Source organism: Homo sapiens, chromosome 14, assembly GCF_000001405.40.
Source record: "Homo sapiens chromosome 14, GRCh38.p14 Primary Assembly".
Classification (NCBI taxonomy): domain Eukaryota; kingdom Metazoa; phylum Chordata; class Mammalia; order Primates; family Hominidae; genus Homo; species Homo sapiens.
In genome coordinates this window covers 69,569,799-69,582,375 of record NC_000014.9, presented here as the reverse complement: position 1 = coordinate 69,582,375, position 12,577 = coordinate 69,569,799, and the positions used below count along the sequence as shown (strand labels likewise).

General features: G+C 53.2%; 1 protein-coding gene across 1 annotated transcript; it reads left to right on the top strand.

Moving 5' to 3' along the window:
• Nucleotides 1-7,504: 7,504 nt before the first annotated feature.
• CCDC177 (coiled-coil domain containing 177) lies at nucleotides 7,505-12,577 on the top strand. The gene is made up of 2 exons (NM_001271507.2): nucleotides 7,505-7,834; nucleotides 8,726-12,577. Exon 2 carries the CDS (start codon nucleotides 8,754-8,756, stop codon nucleotides 10,875-10,877), a length of 2,124 nt encoding a protein of 707 aa, NP_001258436.1. The 5' UTR covers nucleotides 7,505-7,834; nucleotides 8,726-8,753; the 3' UTR covers nucleotides 10,878-12,577.

Genomic DNA, 12,577 nt, shown 5'->3' with positions numbered 1-12,577 from the left:
AGGCATCATGGAAGGCAATGGTGCATAATGTTCTAAATTAGAATTGTCCATTAAGAAGAAAAAGGAGGGGGGGCTAGGCACAATGCTCATGCCTATAATCCCAACACTTTGGGAGGCCAAGAGGGGAGGATTGCTTGAGCCCGAGAGTTTGAGACCAGCCTGGACAACATAGTGAGACCTCATCTCTACAAAAAATTAAAAAATTGGTGGGCATGGTGGTGCATGCCTTTAGTCCCAGCTATTGGGAGACTGAGGTGGGAGGATCACTTGAGCCGTGGGGGTTAAGGACATAGTGAGCCATGATCGTGCCACTGCACTCCAGCCTGGGCAATAGAGCAAGACTCTGTCTCAAAAAATAAAATTAAATTAAAATTAAGTTAAAATGTAAAAAGAAAGAAATACATCAGTGCGTGTGTGTGCGTGTGTGTGTGTGTGTGTGTGTGTGTGTGTGTGTGTGTGCGTGCATGTTGGCAGGCAGAGGCACGGGGGAGAGGCCAGTGGGAACAGTGGCTGTGATGCCAGTGTAGCCTCTCTGAAATGGAAGGGGCCTAAAGGGACTGAGCAGAGAAGTGGCTTATGCCAGAGGCAGATGGCCCAGCAGGAGAGGCAGAGACTGGAAACAAGCCTGGCTCCTGAGCACCAGCCTGTTCTTTCAAGCACAAGCATTTCACAGAGGAGATGCCCATGGGGCAGCACCCCTGGTTCCTGGTCATACTCAGGAAGGAGGACGCTTCTGCAATATCATACAAAAGGCTGGTGGATGGAATGAGGTGCAGCCCTTCACAGAGTGAGAGAAAAGCCCATTGGATTAATCATAAGGCTCCCTCTACATCTCCGCAGTGACGCAGCTTCACAGTTAAGGGCAGGCTGGGCCTCTCCTGTCCCACGAGACAGTTCTTAAACATGAGCATCACCTGCTTAAGAAGCCTAACTCTGAAGATTCACCAAAGCAGCTTAATGGCTCAGGGTACTTTAGGTAGTTTTATGGTACACAGAGTGGGCAAAGTAGCACTACTTAGATCTCATTTCCTCTCGATGCATCCAGCAGGAGGGCTACCACTTACTGGACCCTAAGCAATTGAGAGCAGAAACAGACAAGAACCTGTCCTGCAGCTTGCAAGTCCCTGCCACCTACACACCAAAATGTAACAGTGGTGGTCTTTCAGCAATGATTTTTCTACACGTGATTTTTTTTCCTTCCTTTTCCTGTACTTTTTCATTTCCTCTTTTGATGAACATATATTACTTCATTAAAGTATGAAATAAAACACTTTACTTTTAACAACTATTACCTTTTACCTGCTGGTTTGTGTCCTAAATTTCTTCTTAAGGCTTTAGTCTCAGAAATTGGGAATGGTTACACATTAAGCTGTATATAGTTCTGGGTCCAATCAAGATACAGAAACCACATAGCAATTTAAACAGAGAAGCCTAACACAAAGAGGTATGAAGCTAACGGTTCCCCAAGGCTGAAGGAGAGTATTCAAGGAAGGACAACTTGGAAGGAGAGTTCCCTCCTCAAGACTGGGGAGCTGGGTGCAGTGGCTCATGCCAGTTATCCCAGCATTTTGGGAGGCTGAGGCAGGAGGATCACCAGAGGCCAGGAGTTCAAGACCTTGTCTCTACAAAAAAAAAAAAAAAAGATTGGAGTTCAGACCTCCTTAGAGGAGGTATTGTTACAGCCCATTGGGTGACACAGAAGTCTGCCCAGGGCAGAGCCACTCCACAGCTGTTGAGCAAGCAGGAAATTATAGGTAAGCTGAGGCTGGTGGGAGGGAGCCAGAGTGCCACTACGGGTATGAGGCCTGGAACACCTGGTGTCCACCTCAGGAAGGCACTGGAAGGTGGTCACCAGGCCTGGGCCGGGGCTACAAGGTCACCAAGGGGCTGTTATGGAGATGCAACTGGAGCAGAGTACCACAGACGTTCCCACACAGCTGTACCACCACTAACCACACAGCAGGGGCAAGAAAAAGCAAATAGCACCGCACACAGGATTGGGAAGAGTAACCCCCTTCCTCCTGCAACATTGCCCTGGTTCCCCCTACTGGCAAGCCTTCATATTGGGCTCACTGTCAGGCAGAAAACGCTTACAGCAAACGCTTACAGCACATCACCCCAGAGAAGGTACTGTAGGGTGAACTTGGAGCTATGAGGCAATACATTGATGACTGGCCCAAGCTGTTATCAGTCATTAGGACAGGGGTTGGCAAAGTGTTTCTGCACAGAGCCCGATAGTAAATACGTCAAGCTTTGTTGAGTCAGACAGTGTCTGTCCAAACTACTCAAGTCAGCCATTGTGGTGCAAAAGCAGTACAGATACTATACAAACAAATAAGCATGACTGTGTTCCAGTAAAACTTGATTTACAAAAACCAAGCAGTGGATCTGGCCCACAGATCATAGTTTATCAACTCCTGATGTAGAACTTTAGAGTGAAAAAACCTCTGTTCTGCAAATTCGACTCTACTGAGAGGAAGGAGAATGGATGAGCGTGAGTACACTGAGCTGAAGTGGGTGGTGGGGGCTGTGCAAAAGGAATTTAAATGGAGATGATAATGTCTACACTGTATTTGTCTAGATTAGTGAGCTAGTAATATTAAAGGACCTAATGGTGTACCTAATTGTTATTATCTGTAAGGGTCTGTGTAAGGCAAAATAACAGTCCATATTGTGCCTTCCTTTTTGAAAGACGAAGTTGAGGCTCAGAGAGGTTAAGAAACTTGCCTAAAATCACACAGCCTGGAGGAGCTGAAATTAGAACTACCCATCTGCCTTTTTTTTTTTCTTTTAATGAGACAGGATCTCACTCTGTCGCCCAGGCTAGAGTGCAGTGGTTGCAATCCTAGCTCACCACAATCTCAAACTTCTGGGCTCAAGTGATCCTCTCACCTCAGACTCCCACAGTGTTGGGATTACAGGTGCCAGTGACTGCACCCAGCCCCATCTTTTTGCCTCCCAAGCCCACATTTTTTACCATCATATCCACTATCCCCACTCATAAGAAGCAGGTGAGTGTTCCCAAATTGGGCTGCTGTCTTTACTGGGTACTATAATAAAATTGGATTTAACACTCTTAAATTACAGCAGTCTAGAGCTCCCAACCTGAAGTGAAATCCATCTCCTGAAATGTCCAAGGCACTTAAAGATGAGAAGTGGGAGATACCTGACAATTCGATGGCACCGCATTGACTACCAAGTCAGTTCCAGCAAAGTGGCTGGATATGTTGGTGTCCTATTTCAAGGCCCCCTTCTCCTGCCCTCTCCTTGCATGACCTTCCCAGATGCAGAATCATTCTTTAATCAAAGGTAGAACATTTGTCGGGCTTCCCCTTAAGAACTTGCAAATACTGCAGATGTTGATTCTCACCATGTCTGTAAGATAAGGTTTATCAAAATAAATGGTAACCAGCCGGGCGCAGTGGCTCACTCCTGCAATCCCAGCACTTTGGGAGGCTGAGGCGTGTGGATCACGAGGTCAGGAGATCGAGACCATCCTGGCCAACATGGTGAAACCCCATCTCTACCAAACATACAAAACTTAGCCAGGCGTGGTGGTGTGCGCTTCTAGTCCCAGCTACTCAGGATGCTGAGGCAGAAGAATTGCTTGAACCCGGGAGGTGGAGGTTGCAGTGAGCCAAGATCGCACCACTGTACTCCAGCCTGGGTGACAGAGTGTGAGACTCCATCTCAAAAAAAAAAAAGAAAGAAAGAAATGGTAACCATTGTATCACTGCTTACTGACAATGTGCTGGTCTAGGTACTTTGCATATAGCTGTTCCAGTTCTGCTAACACTCTTGGAAGGTAGGCATTATTGTCCCTATTTAACAAATGTGAAAACTGAAGGATAAAGTTAACATCTACATAGTTTTTCCACAGCCATGATTAGCCATTGAGGGAGGCAATTTAATAAGATTCTATGCAAGGGGGGAAAATGAGGTTTGGAGAGGCCAACTTGCCCACCCTACTCATCTCCATCTGAATCTACATGTCTACAGACACTCAGTTTGGTGTGGAAATATTAATACAATGCATGTGATCCACTTCAGAATCAGACAGAGCCAGGTCCAAATCCCAGCCCCACCTGTACTAGCTTTGTGACCAACTGCTTTTCTCTATTCAGAGCAATTTTTAATGTCATTTCTACATGTCTTTTTTTTTTCCCCCCGAAACGGAGTCTCACTCTGTCATCCAGGCTGTAGTGCAGTGGCGCCATCTCAGCTCACTGCAACCTCCGCCTCCCAGGTTCAAGCAATTCTCCTGCCTCAGCCTCCCAAGTAGCTGGGATTACAGGTGCCTGCCACCATACCCGGCTAATTTTTGTATTTTTAGTAGAGATGGGGTTTCACTATGTTGGCCAGGCTGGTCTCCAACTCCTGACTTCAAATGATCCACCCACCTCGGCCTCCCAAAATGCTGGGATTACAGGTGTGAGCCACCGTGCCCAGCCAATTTCTACATATCTTGTAAAGAGGATTATTCCTTCCTTCCTTTTTTTTTTTTTTTTTTTTTTTTTTTGATGGAGTCTTACTCTGTCACTCAGGCTGGAGTTCAGCGGCGTGATCTCGGTTCACTGCAACTTCCACCTCCCAGGTTGAAGCAACTTTCCTGCCTCAGCCTCCCGAGTAGCTGGGATTACAGGTGTCTGCCACAATGCCCAGCAAATTTTTGTATTTTAAATAGAGACGGGATTTCACCATGTTGGCCAGGCTGGTCTCGAACTCCAGGGCTCAAGTAATCCATCCAACTCGGCCTCCCAAAGTGCTGAGATTACAGACGTGAGCCACTGCACCCAGCCATCCTTCCTTTCTTGACAGAGTCTCACTTTGTTCCCTAGAGTGAGAGGCTGGAGTGCAGTGGCACAATCACAGTTTACTGCAGTGTCCAACACCCAGGCTCAAGCAATCCTCCTACCTCAGCCTCCAGAGTATCTGGGACTACAGGTGTGCACCACCACGCCTGGCTAATTTTATTAATTTTTGTAAAGACAAGGTCTCACTATGTTGCCCAGGCTGGTCTCAAACTCTTGGGCTCAGCCAATCCTCCCGCCTTGGCCTCCCAAAGTGCCAGATTGCAGGTAGGAGCCACCATGCCCAGCTGGACTGTTTTTCAAGGATGATAGAGATAGAATCTCCCTCCAGGGAAGCAGGGAGATTTGTTTGCAGTCCAGGATAATAAAGATAATGCTGTCACTGGGGCAATGGTTGAGCAGGTTTGCTAGTAGCCCTGTTGAGAAGTTTAGGGTTTACTAATCTCTACCTAATTCACTACCTGTCTATGACCCATGGGACACATGGAGCAAGGGGAGCCAACAAAAGCATGATCTCATGCTGCCTGCTGTGCCATGAGTAACAAAGTCAGTGGTTTCTGACCCTGGAGTCTCCTGTCTTCTGCCAGCATATACAGAACAGTGGCAGGCTCACCTGTTAGTATGTAAGTAGGGTAAAATTCCAAAGGCTTCGTGTTCTTAAAACTACTACCTGAATGTCAAAAGCATCAGTAATTCTCACCTCCCATTGCACCTCAGCTTCCTGCACTTGGCATCTGCCCTAGTGCAATACTAAGCTGTTTTTGCCAATGTCACCCAAGACTCATAACTGCCAGTTTCAGTGGGTATTTGACTCCAGGTGAAACCTCCTGGACCTCTGCAGCCCTTAACACAAGGGGCACACTCTCCTTCTGCAGTGCCCCACTGGTAGCTCACACAAGACCACACTTTGCTGTCTGTCCTTGTTGCACTCCTTGTTGGTCCCCTTCGTGCACTCCTTTTCCCTTAGCAGCCCTATCCATGCCCTGCCAGCCTCTCTCATTGCTCCACCTGCCCTCCCTGAGTGATCTCACTCACACTGTTGGTTTTAGGAACCAGGTATAGGGTCACGATGTCCTAATTCTAGCTCCAGTCCAGATCTCTGACACAACTTATCAGCCACCTGCTGAGCAGCTCCACCTCAATCAAGAGGTCCGAAAAGGAAACCATCCTTCCCTGGCCCTCCCCATCACTATGTGCTGTATTCCTCCTGCCACTGTTCCTCTCTGGCCCCAATCCTTCCTGCCTGGGGTGACCACAGTGTCCAGCTAACTGGGCTTCCTGCCTCCTCTTGGCCCTGGCCTTTGTAAAGCCTCCACTTCACTGTTGCCAGAGTTATGTTCCTAAAATAAAAACCAAATCATGTCATTTCCCCACTTAAAACCCTTCACTTTCTCCTCACAGTCTACCTGACAATGTCAAGGTTATTTTTTAAAATTTAATTTTTTTTTCTTGAGATGGAGTCTCGCTCTGTCATCAGGCTGGGGTGCAGTGGTGAGATCTCGGCTCACTGCAACCTCTGCCTCCCAGGTTCAAGCGATTCTCCTGCCTCAGCCTCCTGAGTAGCTGGGATTACAGCTGCATGCCACCACACCCGGCTAATTTTTGTATTTTCAGTAGAGACGGAGTTTCACCATGTTGGCCAGGCTGGTCTCGAATTCCTGATCTCAAGTGATCCATCCGCCTCGCCCTCCCAAAGTGCTCGGATTACAGGTGTGTGCCACCACACCCAGCCAAGGTTATTTAATGCATAGTTCAATATTCCCTCTAATGTTATGTCCCATCCTCTCCTCGACTTCCCTCCATCAAGCACTCCTCCGGTCTGTCTCCTACGGCCACTATCACTCAAAATGGAAAAGAGGTGGGCAGGAGATGTCTCAAAATAACACTCATTGTATGGCACTAACTGGTTATAATTGTTATTATCTATAACCAGGAAGTCATAAAATGTTGCATTAAACACCAGTTACATATGTTCCACCTGCGTCAAACCCATAAGTGTTCTTAGTTTTTGTTTGTTTTTATTTTGTTTTATTTTGTTTGAGACAGGGTCTCACTCTGTCACCCAGGCTGCAGTGCGGTGGTGCAGTCATGGTTCACCGCAGCCTCAACCTCCTGGGCTCAGGTGATCCTCCCACTTCAGCCTCTGGAGTAGCTGGGACTACAGGCACAGGACACCACCCCAGCTAATTCTTGAAAATTTTTTTAGAGATGGGGACTCGCTATGTTGTCCAGGCTGGTCTCAAATTCCTGGACTCAAGTAATCCACTGGCCTCGACCTCCCGAAGTGCTGGGATTACAGGTGTAAGCCACCTTGCCCAGCCTGTTTTTAGTTTTTCATTGAAAAAAAAAAAATCACAATTTGCATCAGGCGCCATATTTCCACCCAATTATTCGCTATCAAGTTTGTTTGCTCCTCAGGGTTTCCTTTAGAAACAAGCTGAGCAATTCCTTCATTCTACCCAGTTAGGCTGCTGAAAGACTAGGGTTTCTTGGTGATTTATATATCGATATCTATCCATATCTATACCTACATCTACCTGTATGTGTGTAGTGTATATATATACATATTATATGTGTGTATATATGTACATATATACATTTAAACAAAAATTTCTCCTTCGTCCTCGAAGCAAACAAACCAGCACCCTCGAGTGTCCGCCAGGAGGCGCAGGGGGCAGCGTGGGACCTGCGGTACCTCCACGGTTGTAGAGGTGTAGAGGGATGCCGCAGCGACGGAACCGGGCTTCTTTTTTAAAGAATCAATGTGAGGGAAGGGTGCAGAGCCGCGTTATTTTAGGGAGACATTGTCGCACTCCCCCTCCCACGTGTAGGTAGCATCTGGGGTGCGTGCGCCCTGTTCGCAGACCCCATGGAGAGACGCTGGCGGCGGCAGATGGGGCTCCTTTCACGGTTGCAGCCGGCAGTAACCCGACCCCGCCGGCGCAGAGACTGAAGAAGCGCAGGGGACAGCGGCGAGCTGCGAACAAAAGCCCTTGGCGCGGGGCCGAAGCCCAGGACGCGGGGTGAGTAAACCGGCTCGGGTACCGGGAGCTGCGGGAACCTGGGCGGCCAGGTTCTTTGCACTCCAGGAGCCCACCCACTGGGATGCTGTGGGGGAACTCGGAGGGCACCCGAGGGCGGGTATCTGAACCCCGACTGGGGTGGATGGTATCTTTAGCACATTCAGACTTGGAGGAGATCCGGTGCGTCTGAGAGTATCCAGGCACCTTCTCCATCCCCAGCAAACACCCGGTGGGGGTGGAGGTGGGGGCGGAGGCGGCGTGCAGAGCCCTCAGTAAGCCCTGCCAGAGCTGCTGGAGCAAGAATCCATCACCCCTCCCGGAGAGGCCTTTGGGGACTTCTCCCAGCCCTTTAATCACCCGGGGGCCTTGCGACCGAGTCTCCTTTGGCAGGGGAAATCAACCATAAACTTCTTCCCTTAGGCAAATGGGGTCCCTTGGGATGAACAGGCCTCTTGCTTTTTTGTTCCTGCAAAGCTGCATCCCCAGTAGCCCGCCTAAGCTACAAACAAATACGCTAATCCTCCCGGGAATCCTCCAGCGCCTCCCTCTCTAGCTCCTGCCTGCACCTGGATCTTTTCATCTTAACTTGCAGCAGAAAGGGGATGCATCTAGCGGGCTAGGCGCCCAGAGGAGCCTCGCCACAGGCCTCCACCCCGCATTCCGGGGCTGAGGGAGACCCAGGCTGCTCTCTGAACACGAGTGTCCGCCCCACCCCCATCCCCGTTCTGGCGCTCAGCCTGGGCTTTCCGACATCGGTTTTATGATTTACGTTCCACCAAAGCCTCTGAGCCTAATCCGAAAGCGGATTAAGTTGGGATGGGGTGACTATGGATGAGGAGGGGGGAAGAGCTCTCAGACGTATTCCTCGATGTCCCTCCTTGTGATCTGCAGAGATTCCAACAAAGGACGGGGCTCAGCCATGGTGGACCCAGTGCCTGAAGAAGAGAAGGCAGGAGCGGAACCCGGCGACTCTGGAGGGGACGAGGCCGTGGCGTCCGTGCCCCCTGATTCCCAGGGCGCACAGGAGCCCGCAGCTTCCTCGGCCTCGGCCTCGGCCTCCGCGGCGGTGCCCCGCAAGGCAGAAGTCCCATGTGCAGCCGCAGAAGGCGGGCGGCGGGAGCAGTCCCCGCTGCTGCACCTCGACCTCTTCAACTTCGACTGCCCAGAGGCGGAGGGCAGCCGCTACGTGCTGACCAGCCCCCGCTCGCTAGAGGCCTGCGCCCGCTGTGCGGTCAAGCCGGTGGAGCTGCTGCCACGGGCCCTGGCCGACCTGGTGCGAGAGGCTCCGGGCCGCTCCATGCGGGTGGCCACCGGCCTGTATGAGGCCTACGAGGCGGAGCGGCGCGCCAAGCTGCAGCAATGCCGGGCCGAGCGCGAGCGCATCATGCGCGAGGAGAAGCGGCGTCTTTTCACGCCTTTGAGCCCCGCGGCCGCCGCCGCCGCCGCCGCCGCCGCGGCCTCGGCCCCGAGCGCGGGCAGCAGCAGCAGCTGCAGCAGCGCCAGCCTCCCGGCCTCGCCCGCGCCGCGTGCGGCCCGCAAGGCTTCCCCTAGTCCCTCCTCCGCCCGGACCCAACCTCCGCCAGCGGGTTCTCGAACAGGCAGGAAGAGCCATTCGCTGGACTCACTGTCCCGCCGGCGTGAGGGCGCCCTCAGCTCCGAGTCGGGCGCATCGTCGTCATCCTACAGTGGGGAAAGCTTGAGGGAGCTGCGCTGGCCGCCTCGGGCCTCGGCCAGGAACAGCTGCCCAGCGGGGTCGGCGTCCTCCACCACCAACGCTCCGGGCCGCCCGTCTGCCCTGACCCTGGTTCCGATCACCGGCCGCAGCTTCAGCCTCGGCGACCTGAGCCATTCGCCGCAGACCGCTCAGCACGTGGAGCGCATCGTGCGTCAAGTGCGTGCAGAGCGCGGCCTGCGCGGGGTGCCGGAGCGTGACCGGAAGATCGCGGCGCTCATGCTGGCGCGGCACCAGGAGGAGCTCCTGCTGCTGGAGCAACGCGCGGCTGCCCACGGCCAGTGGGAGCTGCAGCGCGTGCACGCCAAGCAGCGGCGGGAGCGCGAGGAGCGGGAGAAGCAGCGCGCCCTAGAGCAGGGCCGCCGAGCCTGGGCCGCGCAGGTGGAGGAGCGGCGAGGCCGCCGTGGCCGCGAAGAGCGCGAGGCGGCGCGGCGGCGGCAGCGGCAGTACGAGCGCAGCGAGGAGCGGCGGCGGGAGCTGGCCGAACGCCAGGGCCTCCTGCGGCGGGAGCGGGCGGAGCGCGCGGCCCGGGAGGATCGGCTGCGCAAGCTTCAGCAGGAGCAGAACCTGAAGCAACGTGAGGAAGGTCTACAGGAAGGGCGGGAGCGGGCTGAGCAGATCCGCAGGGAGCGCGCCCAGCGCGCGGCCCGCGCCAAGCAGCGGCAGGAGGGCCAGCTGCAGCGGGAGAAGCGGGAGCTGAGCCGGGCCGAGCGGGCGCGCCACGAGGCGCTGCTACAGGGTCGGACCCGGCAGCAGCGCCAGGAGCGAGAGGGCCTGCGGAGCTCGCTGGAAGCCAGTTTGGGCCGTGCGCAGGAGAACTACGAGCATTTGGTGGAGCAGCGCACCCGGGAGCTGCGGGAGCGGGCCCGGCGAGAGGAGCTGCAGGGTCGGCGGGCCAAGGAGGCGGCAGAGCGCAAAGAGCGGGAACATCAGGCGCACCTGGAGGCGCTGGCCCGGGCGGGGGAGCGACGGCTGCAGCACGCGACGCAGGTGGCCGAGGAAGCAGTGCAGCAGAAGGCGCGGCGCGTGGGCCAGAGCCGGCTGGAGAAGGAACGAGCCCAGCGCGCCAACAAGGAGAAGGTGGAGAGGGACGAAGACTGCCGCCGGCGAGAGCTACTCCAGGCCATCGGGCGCAAGCTGGAGCGCAGCGAGCAGCTGACGCGGGAACGGCGCAGTGCGCTGGAGAGCGCCCGCTCCACAGCCCGGGCTTCCTTCCACGTGCGTGAGAAGGTGCGCGAGGAGACCAACACGCGATCCTTCGACCGCATGGTGCGGGAGGCCCAGCTACACGCCAGCCTGGACCGCAAATAACTGCGGCTCTTTGCCAGCCAGATTGGCACGCACAGCCCCCTGGGGCCTCCCTCAACCACTGACCATCGTGGGAGTCCCCGCTCGGTGCGCAGCGCGGTGGCCTCTCGAGGCTTCTGACCAATGAGGCAACAACAGTACAGACGTTTGGGACCTGTCAGCTGGCCCCCTTTGTTTTTAAAACTTACTTCATTTGGAGATGACAGCACAATCTGCCCACATCCACCCTTGATGGCTCCCGCACCGACCCTTGCCAAACTTCCCTATGTGTCTCTTGGGCTGGAATAGAGAAGCTTGGGGGAAAGGGGCTGATCAGGACTGGTGAGAGGGCCCCCCAGGAGAGGGCAGAGGTGGTTGTCCCCACCCCTTCTGCAGCAGTTGCCCCAGGCACCTGTTCGACATTGGTGTCTGAGACAGTGTTGCTACTGCTGAGGGAACATCACCCTGGCTCACCTCCATCTTTCAAAATATGGCAAGCTGCACAAATCGCGGAGGCCTCCCAGAGAAACACAGCTCCTCCAAGGTGTCAAGCCACGCCCAAATGATCCAAAAAGCAGTTGATTTTTTAGACCTTTTAATCGGCCACCTGAGCAAATTCTCACCAGTTTTGATAGTTTTCCAGTTTAGTCCCTTGGGTTTTCTAGTTAGACAGTCATCTGCAGATAATGTTCAATTTTTGTCCTTTGCCCCCTCCCTCATTCTACCAAGTGGCACAGGAAATTGGTTGGTTTGGTGATGCTGTTTAGCTTTAATAGAAACCCCCAGCCCCTGGAGGGGCTGGATTCCTTTGGGAGCAGTGTTCCATTCCATTAAGCTTCCTTGCAGGGTGGGGCCCACTCCATGAAGACAGCAGTCATGCCTTAAGAAGCAGAGCTACCTTACGTGCCTGCCCAGGCTGTTCCTGCCTAAATCTCCAGCCCTGCATGCCGTCTCAAGGGTGGGCCCCAGAGAGTTTGGAGTGTAGGATTCCCTCTGTGAAGGAATCATCTCTACTTCTCTGAGGACAATTAGGGTATCCTTGGCTGCTTTACTGTGGTGGCCGAAGAGCTGGAATTGCCTTTGTTGAGAGTTGTGTTCACTATCAGTGGTCGTGTACCTTCTCCACCTGCCCCCAGGAAAAAGAGTCTCCCCCTTAAATTTCCTGGTACCCCCTCACCTATGCCTGAAAGCATTTCACCCTCTCAATGCCTCACCTTTCCCATTCGCCAGATGGAACCATCAGTATTCCTCTCCTGGTACCGCAAGGCCTCCTGGATCCAAAGCACCATGTCAGTATTATTTGTTGGTCCTTTTTGTGCCTTTCTTGACCTGGAGGGGGAGGCAGGAGGATTGCTGTCAGCCTAGTTTCTTTCTGGGAATATGGCTCCCTAGTGTTGGAAAGGGCAGTGCCTCGTGGACAGATGGTCATTTAGCCTCTGGGGTGAAATACTTGCAATACCAGGTCACTCTGTGGTCCAAAAGGTCACATTCAGTTGTCATCAGGCAACTTTAACCCTTAGAGTGCTTCCCTTCCATTAAGCTGAAATTGCCCCACGGCCATATCCACCCATTGACTCTGCCTTCATCAAGGAAGGTGGGAAGTAAAACATCACTTTTTACATTAAACCAGGATCAGGAATAAAATGTTACCAAAAAAAAAAAATGGAAACAGGGTAGAGAACTGCTACATTAAACATATTTCATATATATTCTGCTGGGTAAAA